The 22,262-nt window shown below is 42.8% G+C and overlaps 1 long non-coding RNA gene across 1 annotated transcript in view, besides 1 other annotated feature; it reads right to left on the bottom strand.

The window, feature by feature from the left end:
• Positions 1–21,761, bottom strand: part of LINC00407 (long intergenic non-protein coding RNA 407) — a 60,648-nt gene extending 38,887 nt beyond the window's left edge. Inside the window, exons 1-2 of the long non-coding RNA NR_149082.1 lie at positions 21,687–21,761; positions 10,262–10,365 (exon numbers count right to left, since the gene is read on the bottom strand). This is a non-coding gene — a long non-coding RNA (long intergenic non-protein coding RNA 407). The remainder of the gene's footprint in view (positions 1–10,261; positions 10,366–21,686) is intronic.
• Positions 12,634–13,300: an enhancer, noted in NCBI's record as "OCT4-NANOG hESC enhancer chr13:45222966-45223632 (GRCh37/hg19 assembly coordinates)". NCBI's record gives its function as "activates a minimal SCP1, AML or CMV promoter by ChIP-STARR-seq in primed H9 embryonic stem cells {active_cell/tissue: H9 hESC(primed)}" and the evidence as "EXISTENCE:reporter gene assay evidence [ECO:0000049][PMID:30033119]".
• Positions 21,762–22,262: the final 501 nt, after the last annotated feature.

Raw genomic sequence — 22,262 nt, 5'->3', positions numbered from 1 at the left:
CTTAACTAATTTCATCTGCAATGATGTTATTTCCAAATAAGATCACATTCTGAGGTACTGGGCATTAGGACTTCAACATATGAAGGTTTTGGGGGAGAGGAGAGTGAGGGGGTACACAATTCAATCCATAATAATGCGTATAAACTTGTTAAGGCTTCGAGATCAAAGTGCACAAAGTTAACTAACAGACTAAGCAACAGTTCCAGATGACACTATATGTCAGAGGGCATGAATGTTTGCTTCACGGGGTAATCAGTGCTAGTTCTTTAGAAGCCTGAGATAATACATTCAGCTGAGATGATCGGAGAATGGCCCACACTGTGATGGGGTTTGAACCAAGTATCATACAGAGACAAAGAAGGGGTGTTCTGCGTGTGCAAGACAGCTACATTTGTTAGAAGTTATGAGATACGTAAAGAAGTGGGGATGTTGTCCCTGCCATCAAGGAGCTCACAGTCTAGCTCTATAGACAGAAATCAAACTTGAGAAAAGTGAACTATCAAGGCAAAGGCTTGAAACATGACTAAGCCACATGGATGTGGGTGACCATGCATTAAGGTGAACCACAGCGGCCACATGAGTGACAGAGGCCAAGGTGAGCCCCAGTGCTTTGTGCGATGTTCGAGGTGAATAGTGACGTGGCCTGGACTTTTCAAAGGGTGGGCTTTGGATAGGAGAAGAGCAGGGAGAGGGGTTTCCAGGGAAAGAATGTGCTGTACACAAAGGGAGTAAAACTCCAGGCCTAACTGAAAGCCATTGGATGTGGTCATTGGGTGGAAGCACCAGGTCCTCATGGGGAAATGCTCCAGGTTTAAGAGTGGAAAAGCTGCCTGGCTGCCTCCATCTTTCCAGAATCCTGTTCCTAAGCTGCTGTCCTAGGAAGGCATTCACCAAAGTAGGTAGTCAAAACTTTTGGTCTGTAGGACATTGTAGGGTGTTCCTCAATTAAAAAGAAAAAGGTTACAGGCTTAATAAGTGCAGGAAATAATAGATTAATCAATGATACAATTTAATTCAAGTCCTGGTGCGACTCAGATGGCGTACTCAAAGTGAGTAATTTTAGGACAGTTTAGTAAATGACTGTGCAGGGTTTGAAGAAACCACAAAGGAGAGTACAGTGGCATTGGACTGGTACCAGCCAGGAGCTTTTAACCACCCAAATGGCTGAGGGATGCGGGAGAGAAAGATTACCTCAGAGAGATGCCCAACAGGACCTGTGTGCTTGACTTGAGGGGCACAGGCAGCCCACGATGACTGGACAGGGCAGGGCTGGAAAATAACATGCCCGCCTCATTCTCCTCCCTCCCTCTGACCTCCCATTGCCACTCGATGGCGAAACGCCCCTGCCTTTGGGCCACTTGAGACCCAAAGGAAGGAGGACCCATGGATAGAGAGCATCATGGCAGCCTCCAGGGCACAGAACAGGGTGGGGACGATGCACAGTGGTTGTGGAGGGATGAGATGGAGGGATGAGATGAACGGATGGCTCAGCACAAAGTTCCTTCATGGGAGGACTTCTTAGTACAAACCATCCAAAAAGGGGCAATGGAAGGCAGTATTCCTAAACTAGTTTTAGCATAAAACTCCTTTTTTGAAGGAGGACCAGCGATCAAAGGAAACCACTTTGGGAAGCTTCAATCTATGGGATGAAATCCAAGCCTCTCATATCAGGCAAGCTGCTTTCAGATGAAAGTGTCAGAACCCAATCTCTAACTGAAACAGAGAGAATGTGTTGGTTTACCCGTAACTGACAAGCCCAGGAGAGGAGCATTGATTCTGGCATGAGTGGAAGTGGGAGCTCCGACAATGATCAGAACTGTCTGTCCCTCCAGCTTTGCACACTGCCTGCCTCAGCAACGTGTCATCCTGCATGCCAGCTCTCACCACAAGCTGGGCAATACCATCATGACTGCCCCACACCCACATCCTCCGGCTCAGGAACCCCAATGAGGAAGGCACCTCCCTCTCCCATGTCTACACACAGATCCCTTGACGATTCTGAGTGCTCCTGCTTGGCTGAAGGCTTCATGTCGGAACAGTAACTGCCATTAGTTATGCCCAACCCTCTGGAAGTGGGGAGGGTGACTGACCCGGTTTTCACAGACCCACCAGGACCATGTGAGGTGAGAAAGGACTACTCCAAAGAAACAGAAAAAAGGGGTCATGAGAAAACACACAGACTTTAGTGGAAACTAAAACTATAGCTACCATGATCTACCATATTTCTTTGCAGGACATTCATGATTTCCCCCCCAGTTTGGCCACAAATTGTAAATTCCAGTACTCGCTGCTCTCTTGTAAGACCTCTCTGCTCCCCTGTAAGACCTCCCTGCTCCATCCAGCTGGGCTGATCTGCTTACTATTCCTTGAACACACCATACATTTCCATATTTGTTCCTTAGGCCCTTTTTTGATTTGAATTCTGCCTCATCCAAATCAAGTCTCGAGGCTGCAACAGGCTAGGCACTATGGCTCACGCCTTTAATCCCAGCACTTTGGGAGGCCAAGACAGGAGGATCACTAGAGGCCGGGAGTTCGCCATTAGCCTGGGCAACATAGTGAGACTATGTATCTATGAAAAATTTTAAAAATTAGCCAGACATGGTGGTATGCACCTGTAGTCCCAGCTACTTGGGAGGCTGAGGTGGGAAGATCACTTGAGCACAAGAGGTTGAGGTTACAATGAGCTATTATATGATCGTGCCGCTGCACTCCAGCCTAGGTGACAGAGTGAGACTGTCTCTAAAAAATAAAATTAAATAAAATAAAATAAGACTGCAACAGAATCTGTCCACTGAGTGTACATTCCTTTACTCCAAACTGCAGTTCTTGTTTTCCCTCCTTGTAACTCCTATTGTATAAAAACTTCTGCACCATCCATTTGATATTTATTACAATCACCTTTTTTTGTTGCTCTGTGTGTGTGTGTGTGTGTGTGTGTGTGTGTGTGTGTGTGTCCTGTACCTCTACAGACATAACAAGATTGTAGCCTCCTTGAGTTCCACAGCATCATCTTTATACTCTTTGTATCTTTCTTGCTTGGCACATTCTAAGTGCTAATATAATGTGCTTGGTTGTACTTCAAAATTTCAAGGCTAGCCTCCCACCTTTTCCTGCTTGCCTGCATATTTATCTGTTTTTTATGTCCTCTGCTGACTGATAGAGTGGCTTTGAAAAACGTTCTTACCTTAGTTGGGTCCCAGTTTCCCATCAAGTGAGTGAGCAATGCTGATATTGTGGAAAAGAATAGCCCATTCATTCATTGATTCATTCATTTATTCACACATTCAGCACCTACTGAGCACCTTCTATGAACAATAGACTATGTTAGTGCTGTGAAGCAAAAAAAATGAAAAACAGATGTGTCCTAAGGATATTCAAAACCCTGTATGAAATATAAAATAAAAATAAAATTTTTAAAAGACAAGGTAGAAATGTCAAGACATTTTACCAACCTCCAGTAGACTGGAATTTGGGAACATCCAACAAAGCTACATATAAGTTGACCTCTTGACCCAGCACTGCCACTTCTAAGAATTTACCATGAAAAGAGGCCTCCAAATATATGAAACAACATACTTACAAGAGCTTTCATTGTAACAATTTTGTAATAGAAAAATTAGGAAACAACCTAAATGTCTATCCTTAGAAGACTGGTCGAATAAATCATGAAACATGATTCATTATTATGTAATAATTATAAATTATTTTAAATGTTATTTAATTAATTATATTAATCATAAATTATTATGATTTATTCTACATTATGGAATACTATGCAACCCTAAAAAATACTGAGGAAAACTGTTATGGGTTAAGTGGATTAATTTCCAATATATATAGTTGGGAGAAAAAAGAAGCAAGGTACAAAAGTGCATATAATGTGCTACCTAGGAAGTATTTGTGTTAAAAATGTGAATCTAATCCTGAGTAAATGATCAGATGAATCAGAATATGGTACATTCTACAAGACAACTGTTGTGGGTCCTAAAATATAAAAGACAAAAATAAAAATAAAAGAGAATGTCATTTAAAAAATTAAAATTAAGGGTATATTCTAAATAAAAGAGACAGAACAACTAAATTCGAAGCATGAAACTTGATTGGCTCTTATGTTTAAAAAAATAAAATTAAAAGGCAGATTGAATACAATTAAGAAAAATTAAATATGGACCACTATTAGATATTATTAAATTGATCCTAATTTTCTTGTGTAATAACATTGTTGAGGTTGTGTCATAGCAAAACGAAACATGAAGATAGATGATAGGTAGAGATACAAATAGGTAGATAAGTAGAGATAAGGTTAGTGTGTCAAATTATCAATAATTGGTGAATTTAGGTGAGGAGTATACAGATGTTCATTTTCTTTCTTTCCTTTCTTTCTCTCTCTCTCTTCTCTCTTTCTTTCTTTCTTTCTCTTTCTCTTTTTTTTTTTTTTTCAAGATCTCGCTCTGTCACCCAGGCTGGAGTGCAGTGGTGTGGTCATAGCTCTCTGTAGCCTCAACCTACCAGGCTCAAGTAATCCTCCCATCTCAGCCTCTTGAGTAGCTGGGACTACAGGTATGTACCAACACACCCAGCTAATTTTTGTATTTTTAGTAGACAGCATTTTGTCATGTTGTCCAGGCTGCTTACTTTTTGTGGGGTTTGAAAGCATTAAAAATAAATAATTGGGGAAGAAAAACATATCAAAAATTGTATTCATTAGTCAGAACACTTTCAATTCCAAGTAGAAACCAAACTCAAACAGGCTTAAGCAAAAATGAGAATGTATTAGGTGCTCAGATGATGTCATATTTCTCTTTCTGTCAGGTGGCTTTCTTCTAACTTAGGCTCATTGCTGCCCGGTGTCAAGATAATAAGCAGCTTACATCCCACCAGTTAGAAACCTCCATAGAAAGAGGACTTCTTGACCAATCATTCCAGCAAATGTCCCAGGCTGTCCCTTTTTGACAAACTTCAGGCTTGTTCTTGAACCAATTCTGGTTCCAGGAAGATACTGAGTTCTGATTGGCCAGGACTAAATGTCTTGCCAGTGTCTGGATATAGCCACCCAAAAGCATGTACCTCCACCCCTAAGGTGAGGGAAGGATGGCTCTGCAAAAGAAAATCCAGATGCTATTGCCAAAAGAAAGGCAAGTGGGTGCATGCCAGACAAAAGGAATGGTTCTCCACTGCAAAGAACATCGAAAAATTGAACATAAACATTAAAGCAAATCAAGCACTTATTATTTTTTTATTTTTAATTTTTTTTGAGACAGCTTCTCACTCTGTTGTCCCGGCTAGAGTACAGTGGTGCGATCTCAGCTCACTGCAACCTCCGCCTCCCGGGTTCAAGCGATACTCCTGCCTCAGCCTCCTGAGTATCTGGGACTGCAGGCACGTGCCACCACACCCGGCTTTTTTGTATTTATAGTAGAGATGGGGTTTCACCATATTGGCCAGGCTGGTCTCGAACTCCTGACCTCGTGATCCGCCCACCTCAACCTCCCAAAGTGCTGGGATTACAGGCATGAGCCACCGCGCCCAGCTAAATTAAGCACTTATAAGCATTCAATCATATTAACCCACAAGAGAAAACATATTAGCCATTCAAAAACCCTGGTCATTTATTTCATGACTTTAGTATGGCAGAAAAAAATTGTCACTCTTCATTTACATCTCTTAAACAAATTCAATATGAGGGGCAAGCTGAAAAGGAAATAACTACCTTGGATCTGACCTTATTTCTCTCAAATAATAGTTTAAAGAAGCTGTTCACTGCATGTGTACCTGAAGCCAGAAAGACCTCTTTTGATATAGACTTTGACAAATGAATGGAATACAAATCTCAATCTGATTGCTAGTTATGGGATCTGTACTATGGTCAGGGGACCACTGAGGGCAGCCTCAGTTCAACTGAAATATTTTGTTACTGGTTGGGTGGATTGTTATTTTAAATAGCATATTGTTGTTTTCAGATAAATTTCTTAATGGTTATATTTTTCCCTCTCAACATTGAGAAATAGCCCTTTTTATTCTATCCATGTGCAAATCATTACTTTCATGTTTAGTGTTTTATCATATTGAATATTTATTGAGTCTACTATGAATCATGGAGTTTGTAAATACTGTCACAAGAAAATAAATTCATAAACTACCGTTATCATAAAGATTCCTGGAGCCTTCTGCCGTGTCGAGAACCTATCTCATTAGTCACTTAGGAAAGTTATATATGAGATTTACAGTCCCTGCAAGTGGAGCTTTAGAGGTTTTCATATGTGATTGAAGTGCCCATCCATTATTACTGTTACCCAGTAAGTGCACAGATGGTGCTGCGAGCTGAGCAGCAAGGTGGGTGGGGACTCAAAGGCACTCCCCTGGTGCTTACAGAGGCCAGTGTGTGGGCTGGCAACAGAGTAGAAGGCGATGCAGCCAAATTCCATGTCTGACACCCTCAATCAGCAGGTACTGCTGTTCGAGGGACAAGTTAGGCAATGCAGTTTCTACAGGGTTTCCAAAAGGCCTGTGTCCCAAGGAGCACTGTGACCACAGCCCCCACAATTGATCACACCCTTTGGGTGAAGTGTTCTAAGGTCGGCTGTAGTCAAGGCGAGTCATCTACACAGGGCCCTTCTTTTATTTATTTATTTATTTACTTATTTATTTACTTTTTTAGAGACAGAGTCTCGCTCTGTGCCCCAGGCTGGAGTGCAGTGGCACAATCTCGGCTCACTGCAAGCACCGCCTCCCGGGTTCACACCATTCTCCTGCCTCAGCCTCCTGAGTAGCTGGGACTACAGGCACCCGCCACGACGCCTCGCTAATTTTTTTGTATTTTTAGTAGAGACAGGGTTTCTCCGTGTTAGCCATGATGGTCTCGATCTCCTGACCTCGTGATCCACCCGCCTCGGCCTCCCAAAGTGCTGGGATTAAAGGCGTGAGCCACAGCACCCGGCCAGGCCCTTCTATTAATAGATCTTTCCCACAGTGCCTTGGGCTTCACGTCTGTGGAGCTGTTTCCTTCCTGAGAAATGTAGGCTTGGGTGGAGCCTGCATTTGCGCCTACATCCTGGCTAAGGAAGTCCCAGCCTCTACTTCCTATGCATTTCATCCTTCATAACCCATAGCTCTCTGAGACAAGCTGTGCATTCCTCTTTTTTTTTTTTTTTTTTGAGACGGAGTCTTGCTCTGTTGCCCAGGCTGGAGTGCAGTGGCGCAATCTCAGCTCACTGCAAGCTCCGCCTCCAGGGTTCACGCCATTCTCCTGCCTCTGCCTCCCGAGTAGCTGGGACTACAGGTGCCCACCACCACTCCCGGCTAATTTTTTGTATTTTTAGTAGAGACTGGGTTTCACCATATTAGCCAGGATGGTCTTGATCTCCTGACCTTGTGATCCACCTGCCTCGGCCTCCCAAAGTGCTGGGATTACAGGCGTGAGCCACCGCGCCTGGCCTGCATTCCTCTTACTTTCAGATTGCTACTGATGTTCAGTATGTCAATCTAATCTTTAAAGTATGTCTTATTTAAAGGCTCTGGAGATGTTTTCTATTTAAAGAAAGCAAGAGGCAAATCTTAGAAAAGTGTGAGTAGGCTGCGCTGGGTGGCTCATGCCTCTAATCCTAGCACTTTGGGAGGCTGAGGCGGGTGGACCACGAGGTTAGGAGTTTGAGAACAGCCTGATCAACATGGTGAAACCCTGTCTCTACCAAAAATATAAAAATTAGCCAGGCGTGGTGACGTGTGTCTGTAATCCCAGCTACTAAGGAGGCTAAGGCAGGAGAATCACTTGAACCCTGGAGGCAGAGATTGCTGTGAGCCGAGATCATGCTATTGCACTCTAGCCTGGGCAACATGAGCGAAACTCTGTCTCAAAAAAAAAGAAAGAAAGAAATGAAAAGTGTGAGTAATTACTCCATATTGATTTATTCTATAAACTTGCATTTTATTTCACTGAAATTTAAATATCGGAGGCTTGGGCGAGTTGGTCCACAACTGTAATCCCAGTGCTTTGGGAAGCTGAGGTAGGAGGATTGCTTGAGCCCAGGAGTTCAAGACAAGCCTGGGAAACATAGAAAGACCCTGTGTCTACAAAAAATACAAAAAAAAAAAAAAAAAAAAAAAAAAAAAGCCAGTTGTGGTGGCACACACCTGTAGTCCCAGCTACTTGGGAGGCTGAGGTGGAAGGGTAGCTGGAGCCCAGGAGGTAAGGCTGAAGTGAGCTGTGATCATGCCACTGCACTCTAGTCTGTGTAATTGAGTGAGATCTTGTCTCCAATACATATATATAAGATATACTTTAAAGATTAGATTGACATACATACATACATATATATACATATATATATATATATATATATATATGGTGGTTAGTTTACTCTTTCCAAGGGCCCAAGTTGGTGATCATATCACAGTGACTCTGGCCAGAGAGCTGAGCTTTCTCCTTGCTGCCCTCTGTTACCAGGGTATCTTCTCCTTTGGGCTTGGGGCAACCATCCTCAGCTTCTTTATCTTTTCCCCCTTACTGTACAACACAGTGACTGAGCAACCCCAAGGACTCATTTTGGAGGAGTTGAGGGAATTCGCCTGGGGCACTGTATTTGTGATTCATTTCCATTAGCCTTACAGAGATGATGGATGGCACTGAATAGCACATCTAGCATTTGAGGCTTGATATTAGCTAATGATAGAGCCAGGTCCCTTTGGCTCTCACTGAACGGGAAACTTAGCTATTAACTAAAATTAAGTGACTCATTTTGAGGTCAAACAGTAAGTCAGGGATAGAATGAGAATTGAAATCACAGCACCAAAGAGCTGCAAACACAAAGACTTGAAGATGGGAAAGAAAGGATACAATTCAGGAAGATTAGTTACCCTTTCTCCTGCTTCACTGACAGCCAACCCTGGCTATGGACTATTTTCAGAGATTAATAATTCATTTTGAACCTCAATAATGAATTAGAGTGTTTATGTACACAGCAGCTTTGTGTGACAGTTCTGTGCTCTGCTCTTGAAGAAAAATGAAGCAGGTTTAAATGGTTTACAGATCTCTGACCACTCCACTGTCTACAACGTTGATGCAGTTCAACTTAATTCAGCAAGAATTCACTTAGCACACATTGTGTGCCAAGCATTGGGCCAATCCTCTAAAATGAATACTGGGGTGCAGTGACTCATGCCTGTAATCCCAGCACTTTGGGAGGCCAAGGTGGGTGGATTACCCGAGGTCAGGAGTTCGAGACCAACCTGGCCAACATGGCGAAACCCCATCTCTACTAAAAATACAAAAATTAGCCAGGCATGGTGGCAGGCGCCTATAATCCCAGCTACTCGGGAGGCTGAAGCAAGAGAATTGCTTGAAACTGGGAGGCGGAGGTTGCAGTGAACCGAGATCATGCCATTGCACTCCAGCCTGGGTTACTGAGCAAGACTCCATCTCAATAATAATAATAATAATAATAATGTTTAAAAATTAAAAAAATAAAATGAATAATAAAAATTTAAATAAGACCCAATCCCTGCCCACAATGAACTTGGAATCTAGTCCTCTATTCATTTATTACCTTAAATTTTATTATTTGTACCATTCTCTTTCTGACTGGTATAATTACAAGAAGAACCACAATTACATTTTGACTTAAAACTATCAAGAACACACAGTGTTCTTGAGGACACGATGGTGATTTGTCATTTGGCCAGATGAACTGGCGAATGCCAACAGGCACACATTAACATCGGCTGCTGCCCTTCAGTTGTAGACTTGGAAAGCATATTCTAAATCCCCCAGTGAAATGTTTTGGCAGGCATTTTCATCCAGATATTATTAACAGTCAAACTAAAACAATCCACACATCAATTCTGACTCTCAGGGAGGTCCTGGATGGAATTGTTAGGGACTAGAGCTTCAAGTGCTTTTGTCCAACCAAATCACATTTCCCAGTCAGTCATAATCTTTTAAGTAGCTTTTCTGTTTGGGGTAAATAAGGTAGCACAGGCATTTCCTTGTCCAGCCACTTTTTGTGTTTTTCAGTACTGTCACATTTTTGGAGGTTATGACTGATCCAAGACTTAACTATATAAGAATCCTTTCAACAGTAAAAAGACCTTTGGGGAAAAGCATCACACAAGTATACAACCCGTTGGAGAGCATGATCTGTGCAGTCCATTCATTCAACAATTACTTATCGAGCGCTCTGCTAGACCTTGTACATCTTAGACCAATGACTCAATCTTTGAGCCTCAGCTTTCCTCATCTGTGAAATGGGAATAATATACCTACCTCACAGGGTGGTGATGGACATGAACACAGCAGCTATGTGAAAGTTCTCATCCCAGGTCCCACACATCCCAGGGGAGGTGTTCAGTCAACATGAGTTTCCTTCACTGCTAGGTGAAAAGGGTCACACATATCAGTGAAATGTTTTGTTTTGTTTTTTCCCTCGCTTTTTTCAGATTGCCTTCCCCACTTCAGCCCTCTTCAGATTTACAGATGCACTCTTGGAAATGCCTTCATGCTTCTGTCCTCTGACCTTGTAGTCTATCCTCATTCTTACCTACTGGGTCTCAGAACATTAGCCATCCTTCCTGCTGGCCAGATCCATTCCTCCTGTGCTTGGGAGCCCACCTTCCTGATTCCTAAGAACACCCTGCCATCCAAAACATCATTCTATTCCTGTCTTCAGGTACCATATTACTTTCTGCCTATAAAGAAGCTTGACTTTCCTCCTGGGCTCTTGAGCGCCCCCATCTGACCGACCACAACCCTCTCACTCTGTTTTACTTCCAAGCCAGGCTCTGGAAGGAGTGGAGACTGTCTACTCTCCCTACACAAGCCACTGTCCTCTGGCTTTCAGCTTCCTCATGCCACTGAGGCAGCCCTTGCCAAGGTCATCATTCATTTCCAGGCCTACTGGATGTTATTTCACCTTCTTCTTCTCCTCAGTTCTTCATAACTTTGGAGACTGTGTTCTTTTTGAAACTTCCACTTCCTTGGCTCTGTGTTGCTGCCATTTGAGTCCTCCCCTTCCTGGCTACTCTGGAGCTCCTCATCCATTCCACCTGATGATAGTGACCAACCTGCACTCTGGCCTTAATTTGTGCAGGTGGTTTTCTAAGCACTTTACATATATTAGCTCATTTTAATCTACACAACAAACTTTTTTTTTTTTTTTTAAGAGGCAGGGTCTCGCTCTGTCACCCAGGCTGGCATGATCATAACTCACTGTAACCTCAAACTCCTGGGCTAAAGCAATCCTCCTGCCTTAGCCTCCCAAGTAGCTAGGACTACAGGCACGCACCACCATACCTGAATACATTTTTATCTTTTGTAGAGATAGGGTTCTCCCTATGCTGCCCAGGCTGGTCTCAAACTCTTGGTCCCAAGCCATCCTCCCGCCTCAGCCTCCCAAATTGCTGAGATTACAAGCATGAGCCACCATGCCCACCCAAATCTTTAATGAGTACTATTATTTCCCCCCTTTCCTATACAAAGAAAGCAATGCTGGGAAAGGCTAAGCAATCTGCTAAGAGTGACAAAGCTCAGAAGAGGTGGGACCTGCCTCAAACCCACGTGGTCTAGCCCCAGGAAACCCTTATCACTACCTACGTGTGAGTTCTTCTCCTCAATCTTTTTATTAATTTTAACATTTCAACATTTTTGTTTTCATTCTATATGTTCTCCCAGGGATGTCCGATTTGCTCCCATTCTTTTAATTATTAGCTACCTGCATATCAATGACTTCTGTGTCAGTTCAGTCTCTCCAAGAAGCAGACACCAAAAGGGAATGAGAGGTACCAGGCATTATTGGGAGAAATGCCTGCAAGAGATAAAGAAGAGAGGGAGCAAAAGAAGGCAGGGCCAGCCTTCAGACCATTGTACCAATCAGATATCTGTGAAAGGAAAAGGGGCAGGAAAGAGGATTGGGTAGGAAGGAAGAGCCCCAGACTGGAGTAAAGGAGAAGAAAGTCTGCCAACTACACTCCTAGTAGCAGGTTCTCCCATCAGGATATCCCAACAGCCCACCTCCATGGTCACCAGAAAGCCCAAATCTACATTTCCAGTCCTAACCTCTGTTTCAGCTCCAGTCTTATACCCAACCACTTCCCATATGCATACAAGACCCACAGAACCTCAACATCAGCATGGCCAACAATGACTCATTATCTTCTTCTGGCCTCACTGCTTGAAGCTCCACATTCTCTATATTCCTTAGCTCCCTATGTGATAATACCATCCACCCATCACTTAAGCTTATCCCTCCCTATCCCTCAGGTCTGCCCATACAATCAATAGCCAAGGTCTATGGACTTCATGTCTAAAATTTCTGTTGAATTTGTTGGTCATCTCCTCTCCATGCATACTACTGCTGCCTTTGTACCCTTGTCATTTTACTATCAATGACACATTTTACAAACACTATCAATGGTGATTCCTCTCCCCGCTGCGCCCCCCTTCCATAATGACCCCATGAACAGAAAATCTCGATACAGTGAAGGCTTAGAGGCAAGCCGGAGTGCTACAAGACTTCAGATAGGGGACCCTCAGCCCCCGACAGAAGTGCAAGGAGGGCTTTCTAGAGGAAGACACCCAGAAAAAGCACAAAGCAGATGACCAGGCCCTATTTAAATAAATAATTATTCACTCGGCCATGGTTTTTCATGGCCAAGAAAGGTTTGGTCATAAGAAAATTTCATGCTGCTATTAAAAGAGTTGATTGCTAAAGGCGAGTAGGAAGGTGCTTCAGTTTTTCCACAACTTTGAGGACCTTTAGTGGGGCTTCTCTTTTAACCACAGTCAACATTGACACCTAACTGTCGGATGGGTTTCAAGTTCAGCCGCTGACTTTGCCACAGTGCTCCCTGACCTCACCTCACACTTCCCACCTCCTTTTAACTTGAGAGGCAAACTCATTCTCACCACTCTGCAGGGAGGTATTGTTTATTGTCTCTTGGAAGAGAAACTTGAGAAGGCAAACTGTGTGGGCCTCTCCTGCAGGTACAATGAATTCTTGATGGGTCTGAGAAACAACTGCTGATCACAGTCTATTTCAGTTTACAAAAATATATCAAAGATCTGTAGAAAATCACAGGTTTTGAGTCTTTTGAGTTTAATTTCAGAACATGTCAGTAGAGTTATGACTGTAAGATATTCTGGAGGATACAGGATACTTTGCTCAGTGAACTGACTTGTGAAAGTTTAATCAGCTCACTTACCCTCCCCTATCTCCACCCATCCAGGATACAGAAATGAACACTTCCCTCCTTTCAGAAGTAATTTATCCCACATTCTGTATGAGATAGTGGGTGGAAACTATAATAGATCAGATAAACTGATACACGTGAAGATGTTATAACTATAAATATTACCAAAAATATGCCTTATAATTACAGTGTCTAAACATGATTTCCTTAGAGAATTTCATTTTAGTAACACATAATTTATAAACTTGCTTTATATTCATGTTTCTTTTCTAAAGTAAATAATTGCAATATCTTCCCTTTGACTGTAGGGGGAGAGACAGCAGGAGAAACAACTGAAAGGAAAGGTCATGGGTATTGATTTGATTGTTCAGGCGGATGATTAACTGCCTCTGCAGAGGCAGCCCCAAGGGCCATGAAAGCCATTGCTCAATTTAAGACTTTCCAAGTTTCCCTCTTTATTATTGAAATCTGATCTTTGTTTCTTAGCTTGAAAACTTCATTTTGTTGACTGTAGTTTTTCCTCCATGCTCAAGACTAGCAAAGTAGGTACCAGCTCTATGCAGAATGGTGCCTCTCCGTGCTGGTGTTTGTCTTTGCATGCCAAGGTGCAAAGCAACCAGGGCTATGAGAAGATGCCCAGAGAGGTCAAGCCTGGCATCTGGGAGAGGAGGCAGTGACTACCACCTTTTGTGGCCATTCATTCTCTTTGGAATCAGATGGACCACAGTACAAAGGGGCACTTTCCTGGTGGACCAAACGACTGGTTTTCCATAGTCCAGGTAGATGCTGCACACACCTTGCTAATAACCAAGCTGCAGAGTGTTTATTAGTAGCTACCATTATTATTATTATTAAATAAATGTGAGCAGATTAGTGGCGCTTAAAAGAACATGTTGCTTGGCCGGGCGCAGTGGCTCACACCTGTAATCCCAGCACTTTGGGAAGCCGAGGTGGGTGGATCACCTGAGTTCAGGAGTTTGAGGCCAGCCTGGACAACATGGTGAAACCCTGTATCTACTAAAAATATAAAAATTAGCCAGACATGGTGGTGGGCACCTGTAATCCCAGCTACTTGGGAGGCTGAGGCAGAAGAATCACTTGAACTGGGGAGGTGGAGGTTGCAGTGAGCCGAGATTGTACCACTATACTCCAGCCTGGGTGGCAGAGTGAGACTTGGTCTCTAAATAAATAAATAAATAAATAAATAAATAAATAAATAAATCTCACTCAGGTCTATTCCATGAGCTTCCTGGGCATGAGATTGAGGAGGGGTTTGTGCCTAAAATCCTCACCTCTGTTGGGTGTCATGACAAGACTAAGGTTGTGAACCTCTGGTCCAAGAACAATCTCTCAGGGGGGATCTCTGGGCCCCTAAGCTGGTGTAGGACCATACTTATGTACATGACCATATTTTTTTCCCTCTTCCTTCTCAGTTTGCTGCCTGACCACAGGTACTAACATAACACAATGTTCAGTTGGCTCTTAACTTCAGATACTCTCCCTCTGAAATCTCCTTTTGTTGAGTTGTCTGGAACCAAGCTGCTGCCTCCAACCTGTTCTGCAGCTCTGCCCTCATACCTTTAAATATCAAAGGAACAAGGAAATAGAATCAATCAGTCTGGGCAACATGGCAAAACCCTGTTTTTACAAAAAAAATACAAAAAATTAGTCGGGCATGGTGGTGTGCACCTGTGGTCCCAGCTACTCAGGAGGCTGAGGTGGGAGGATTGCTTGAGCAAGGGAAGCAGAGGTTGCAGTGAGCTGAGGTCGCACTACTGCACTCCAGCCTGTGTGACAGAGTAAGACCCTGTCTCAAAAAAAAAAAAAAAAAAGGAAAATAGGATCAATAACCCAGCTGTTCCAGGACATTGTGCATTTAGTGTATCAGAACAATCAGCTGTGTTTTCCCTATTTCAAGCAATAAGTATTCAAACCCCAACTCTGCCATTTAATGACTGTGTGGTCTTGAATAAGTTTCCTAACCTCTCAAAGACTTGGTTTCCTTATCTGAAAAATGGGAGTACAATAGGGCTGCTGTGAGTGTTAAGTGAGATAATATTGTTGGGATAAAAGCTTTTCCTCTTCCAGCTTGGGTTCAGCGGCTAGGGGCTTACAAATTTAACTGACTGTAGACAGATTAACAGAGAGAAGACAAAGTTTATTATGTGGGTAGGAGCCTCTAGATTAAATAGTTCCTCAAGGCTGGACACAGTGGCTCACACCTGTAATCCCAAGCACTTTGGGATTGGGTGGGAGGATTATTTGAGCCCGGGCAACATAGCAAGACCACATCTCTACAAAAAAATAAAAATAAAAATTAGTTGGGTGTGGTGGTGCACGCCTGTGGTCCTACCTATTTGGGAGGCTGAGGTGGGAGGATGGCTACAGTCCAGTAGTTCAAGGCTGCCGTGAGCTATGAAGGTGCCACTGCATTCCAGCCTGGGTGACAGAATGAGAACCTATCTCTAAAAAAAAAAAAAAAGAAAAAGAAAAAGAAAAAGAAATGGCTCCTCAAGCAGCTAGAGATAGGAGTTTATACCAACTACATAGAGAAAAAGGAGGCAGGAGAAAGGGCTTCCATGGAAGACCAAATGAAAGGTATGACAGTTTCAGATAATTTGTTTAAGCAATTGCTCATCCCAGTACTAATGGTTAGTCTCCTTGCTGGCTGTAAACCCCCTGGAGAGGGAATTTATGGCAGCTATAATTTTTGGAAGATCCTGCTTAAGTCAGCAAAATGAAGTTTAGAAAAGGTTTCCTTTTTCACGGCTGCTACTTCTTCAGATGCTTTTAGCTTGAAATATTTTTTTTTGAAACAGACTTCCGTTCTTGTCATCCAGGCTGGAGTGCAATGGCACAATCTCAGCTCACTGCAACCTCCGCCTCCCAGGTTCAAACGATTATCATGCCTCAGCCTCCCAAGTAGCTGGGATTATAGGCGCCCAGCATCATGCCCAGCTAATTTTTGTATTTTTAGTAGAGACAGGGTTTCACCATGTTGGCCAGGCTGGTCTCGAACTCCCGACCACAGGTGATCCAACCAACTCAGCCTCCTAAAGTGCTGGGATTACAGGCGGGAGCCACTGCGCCCGGCCGCTTGGAATAATTTTTATGCTACTGAGGTGCATTTCAGATCCCTTCATTTTAAAATGCATAGTGCTATCTATGTATTAGTTTGTTGTTTTGTTCCTATAGTGTTGTTGTCGTTGTTGTTACAAGATAGGTAAATCTTTCATAGAGGCATTAACAAAAAAGTGGTACCTTACCCTTAGGACCAATGGCTCCCCTTCGGGAGCTGAAGAGTGGGATGTTTCATAGAAGTTATGGCAGCAAAGGCAGCCATGAGGGGAAATACTCTGCTTGTCCCAAGAGGAGAAAAGAAATTTCCATTCCCCCGTCCTTTACCATAAGCACAAATGAAGAGTTTCTGTAACAAAAGGCCTCTTCTTTGAGCCCCAGCACAGAAAAAAACATAAAGCCAAATAAAAATCATTTTATTTATGAAGTTTTTGTTCCAGGTGTCTGCAGAGATACCCAGAATGAGGTAAGATACATGGCAGAGGGATTCTAGCATTGAGGAAGAATTAATCACCTAACAAGGTCTAGATGAAAACTCACACCCAAGGTTGTATATTTTTAAATCCTGGGTCACAAAAAGACTTGCTTAAAGTGAATAGTTTTATGTAAAGGTGTTTTCTGGTTTCAAGATATTTTAAACACTTATTAGAAAAAAAGTCATTAAAATAAGAGAGAAATCTCTGTTTTGCTCATTAGAGAAAAAAATGGCAGAATGATCCATATTGCATAGATTTTCATGTTTTAATTTATTTTTCAGGAAATCACACTCATTCTATTTGTGGTACAGAGTGTGTAGTTTGGGGTGAGGTCACATTAGAAAAAAGTCCTTGTATTATGTAATAATGTCTAACAGAGTCATTATACCAAAACAGACTGACTCTCAAAGGAAAATTTACTTTAATTTTATCATTTATCATTTTAAGGATTTATTAACTGCATGCAGTGTAAAGGACATTGCTTCAAATCTATTAATATTTTTCTATACTCGTGCAAATGATTTTAAAAATGGATAAATCTAAAGTTTATTTATTTATTTATTGAGACAGAGTCTTGCTCTGTCGCCCAGGCTGGAGTGCAGTGGCACAATCTCAGCTCACTGCAACTTCTGCCTCCCAGGTTCGAGCAATTCTCGTGCCTCAGCTTCCTGAGTAACTGGGACTACAGGTGTGCGTCACCATGCTTGGCTAATTTTTGTATTTTAGCAGAGAGGGGTTTCACTATGTTGGCCAGGCTGGTCTCGAACTCCTGACCTCAGGTGATCCACCCACCTCGGCCTCCCAAAGTGCTGGGATTACTTACAGGCATGAGCCACTATGCCCAGCCAACCTGAAATTTCAATAGGGCAAGGAAGATGATTTATCAAATCTTTTATTCAGGAAGGTGGACTCCCCACCTCTTCCTGGCTAAATGGTAACTAAATAAGAAGAGAGGAGAGTAAGGTACACTATTGATTGGAAAATGAAGTTTGCTTGCTTGTTTGTTTTAACATAAACACACTGCCTAGCATTTTTTGGAGTAACCTGGTGATGCCAATGATAATTAGTTGAGTTGTAGAGTTGTGCGCGTTAAGAACATGGAGCATATATTAACAAATAGGCATTTTTTGAATCATTTAAAAAGTGGCATTTTTCTTACTCCAAGAGGTCCCCCATGTTTCCCCACTTTTCCTTCCTCACAGGCACTTCCTTATGACAAGTAAATAACAGAACTGCTTAATTGATCTATTCACATTTTTAAAAAGTCTTATTCTCTGCATGTTGCCAGCATTTTTATCTGCATAATTAATTCTTTTGGATTATAAATCCTTCAAGCAGTAGCCTTCAGCTCTGATGTCATGAGCTATTGGTATGTCATTATCTGTACAAGAGAAAGGAAAGGAGCCATAATTTGTGGGGTGGGATGTGGGTGGGATTGAGTATAACTCATGGCCTAGGCCCATAAAGCATTTATGAAGCCCTGGGAGCTGGTGCCCCAGGCAAATGTCCTCCAGCAGGTGTGTCCCTGCAGAACAAAGGTTGAGACCCAGAGCCTGTATGGCTTGGGGTCATGTTGACCCAGATGATTCTGCCCAGCATAGAATACAGTGTCACTGCAAGTGGGCATCTCAAGAAGGTTGCCGGCTGGTGATGGTGGCAATCACGATGACAATGAAGGTGGTAGCGGTCATGATAACGTACCTTTGCTCTCAAGCAATTCTTAACTTCCTCTATTTCACCATCTCTTAGCCTAGACCTAGAAAAATTGGACGATGAGTACTTAAAGCCAAAGACTCCTTCCTCAGAGGAAGGCCAATGAAAGAAAGGTACGAGGTAGGTTGCGTCAACTCTTCTCCTCTGCTTGTCACACTTGTAGTCACGGATAAAGATCAGAGCTCCTTTCCCATGTCTGGGGCCCTTCCAGAGCCCCATCCATATGAGGTCCAAGTTCAGCTCCACTAGAAAAGATTAACAGGTCTTGCTTTTTGTAGCAGACACTGTTCATTGCGTACTCAACAGCCGGTTTCAACTCACCCATTCTGGCTTTCACTCTGCAGCCATGAGCTCATGGAAGGCATTCATTGTCAAAGGCAATCATAGCAGTGTCCTTCTCTTTGCCAGCGACTGGTGTAGGCTTTGGCACCGTGACCCAATCCTTATTTGAGGGTAAGATACTGGAGCTACTTCTGAGGAAGCTTTTCCTCATCAATTAAAAACAAAAAGATGAGGCCAGGTGTGGTGGCTCATGCCTGTAATCCCAGCACTTTGGAAGGCCGACGTGGGTGGATTGTTTGAGGTCAGAAGTTCAAGACCAACCTGACCAACATGCTGAAACCCTGTCTCTACTAAAAAAAAAAAAAAATAGAAAAATTAGCCGGGCATGGTGGCAGGTGCCTGTAATCCCAGCTACTTGGGAGGCTGAGGCAGGAGAATCACTTGAAGCCAGGAGCCGGAGGTTGCAGTGAGCTGAGGTGGCACCACTGCACTCCAGCCTGGGTGACAGAGCAAGACTCCGTGTCAAAAACAAAACAAAACAAAACAACAAAAACAAAAAGATCTCAGGCGCGGTGGCCCACACCTGTAATCCCAGCACTTTGGGAGGCCGAGGAGGGTGTATTGCCTGAGGCCAGGAGTTCGAGAGCAGCCTGGCCAACATGGTGAAACCCTGTCTCTACTAAAAATACAAAAATTAGCTGGGCGTGGTGGCGCGCGCTTCGGGAGGCTGAGCAAGAGAATCACTTGAGCCCAGGAGGCGGAGGTTGCAGTGAGCCAAGATGGTGCCATTGCACTCCAGCCTGGGCGATAGAGTAAGACTCCATCTAAATAAATAAATAAATAAATAAATAGAAAAAGATGCACAGGAGAACACACTTCTCTCCTTTGCTGGATACCTTCATACCCGCATATGATGCCTGGAAGTGCTGCAGCCCCTGGAGCCCATGAGAGGAGACATGGGCAAGACACTGGGGATGTTGAGCTGCTGAACCAGAAAGAGGAAAGCACCCAGGTACTTCACGGCATCAGGGTCCCGCGGTAGTAAGCAAACCTAGAACTACCCTCCCCGTGGACTTCTAGTTATGTGAGTGAGATAAGAAGCCCATTATGGGCTAGCGCCATGGCTCACGCCTGTAATCCTAGCACTTTGGGAGGCCGAGGTGGGTGGATCACTTGAGGCCAGGAGTTGGAGACTAACCTGGCCAACATGTTGAAACTCCATCTCTACTAAAAATACAAAAATTAGCAGGGCGTTGTGTGTGCCTGTGATCTCAGCTACTCAGGAGGCTGAGGCAGGAGAATCACTTGAAGCTGGGAGGCAGAGGTTGCAGTGAGCCAAGATGGCACCACTGCACTCCAGCCTGGGTGACAGAGCAAGACCCTGCCTGAAAAAAAAAAAGAAAAAAAAAAAAGAAGAAGAAAAAGCCTGTTACTAGGCCGGGCATGGTGGCTTACACCTGTAATCCCAGCACTTTGGGAGGCCGAGGCGGGTGGATCACCTGAGCCCAGGAAGTGGAGGCTGCAGTGAGCCCTGATTGTACTACTGCACTTCAGCCTGGGCCATAGAATGAGACCCTGTCTCCAAACACACACACACAAAGAAGCCTGTTATGTTTAAAGCACTTCAGGATTGGCAAGTCTTCTGTGGCTCACAGGCAAAAGCTTTCCAACAGACACATCTTTTATAATAACCCAGGCTTATGATAAGACAATCAGGGATGAGAGCCCTGAAGGTGGTAAAGGGACCATAGACCCAGGCAAATATGTTGTCCCAGCCACCTGGATTCAGTTGCTCATTTAAATCACTAAAAAAATCACTAAAAACTATAGTTCCTTAGTCCTCTATATCCATTCATTCACTCATTAAGTGATTATTCAGTGAGCTCTTCCTATGGTTTTGCTATAAAGGACACCAAGAAACAGAGTATCTAGCAGTGACTTAGTACTTGAGCATCCCCCGAGAACTTCACATACACCTCATTTGATGCCCTGAAGAACCCAGTGAAACCAATATTATTATTATTCTCATTTTATCTATTAGAAATGTGAGGCTCAAAAAGATTGTTGAAATTTCCATAACCTGACTTTAAGTCCAGGGATTTTTTTCCACCAAACCCAAATTGCATGTTGCCCTCAGGAAGCTTAAGGTATAAAAGTAGGGATCTAGGTTATGCATATATTTAAAATTAAATAACAAACAAGATTTAGATAGCAATACAAATAGTTATTCAGAATTTTTACAGGGTAGTAAGTAGTTAAGGACCAAACTGGTAAGGGAGAGAATAAGCATTGTTCAAAAGGAACTTAGTACTCTTGATGGAGAAGCAGATTTTATGCTCACTGCAAATGGAAAAAATCTTTCCCATACAAGCACTAACAGCTCATATTTGGAATCTGACATAATCATATAAAAACTATTGCTAACTTCAAACAAGTAAAAAAATGCATAAACTAGACTCATATTTCTTATCAGATCTTTGTCACCTACTTTTGTCACCTCTAAATAGTTAATTCTATTTATAGAAAAGAATAGTTAAGCTTGAAAGAACTTGATAAAATAACTTCATTTGAAAAGCACTAATGTGTAGATATTAAGAATATTGGAAAAAAGGATTTAAGGTAATCTTGATTTGCCCCAATAATAACTGAAGTGAATGAAACACATTAACATTAGGTTCTTATTTTTACTAACTTCATGGAATTACTAATACTCAAGCACTCTACAACAGCGTTGCCTGATTCATTAGCCAGTAGTCACTAGGTACATTTGGCTATTTAAATTTTAATAAAAGCTGGGCACTGTTGTTCATGCCTGTAATCCCAGCATTTTGGGAGCCCAAGGCAGGTGGATCACTTGAGCTCAGGAGTTCAAGACCAGCCTGGGCAACATGGTGAAATCCCATCTCTACTAAAAATAAAAATTAAAAAAAATTAGCCAAGCATGGTGGTACTCACCTATAGTACCAGCTACTTGAGAGGCTGAGGCAGGAGGATCATTTGAATCATATGATTCTGGTGACAGAGGTTGAAGTGAGCTGAGATCGCACCATTGCACTCCAGCCTGGATGAGGAAAGTGAAACCCTGTCTCAAAAAAAAAAAAAAAAGTAAAGGGAGGCTGAGGCAGTAGGATAACTTGAGGCCAAGAGTTCAAGACCAACCTGGGTAGCACAACAAGACTCCATCTGTACAAAAAATAAAATAAAATTTGCCACATGGATGGTGCATGCCTGTAGTCCCAGCTACTCAGAAGGTTGAGATGGGAGGATTACTTGAGCCCAGGATATACAGGATACATGAGCTGTGATTGAGCCACTGCACCCCAGCCTGGGTGACAGAGTGAGATCCTGTCTTTAAAAATAAATAAATAAAATGTAAACTTTTGTTCCTCAGTTGCACTAGCCACATTTCATGTCCTCAATAGCCACATGTGGTTAGTGGTTATCATATTGGACCATGCAAATATACAACATTATCATCTTTGCAGAAGTTCTACTAGACAATGCTGCTCTAGATCCTGGCAAATGAGAGGC

The sequence above is a fragment of the Homo sapiens genome, chromosome 13 (assembly GCF_000001405.40).
Source record: "Homo sapiens chromosome 13, GRCh38.p14 Primary Assembly".
Classification (NCBI taxonomy): Eukaryota; Metazoa; Chordata; class Mammalia; order Primates; family Hominidae; genus Homo; species Homo sapiens.
The sequence above is the reverse complement of the archived record's forward strand: the minus strand, read 5'-3'. Positions and strand labels throughout refer to the sequence as shown.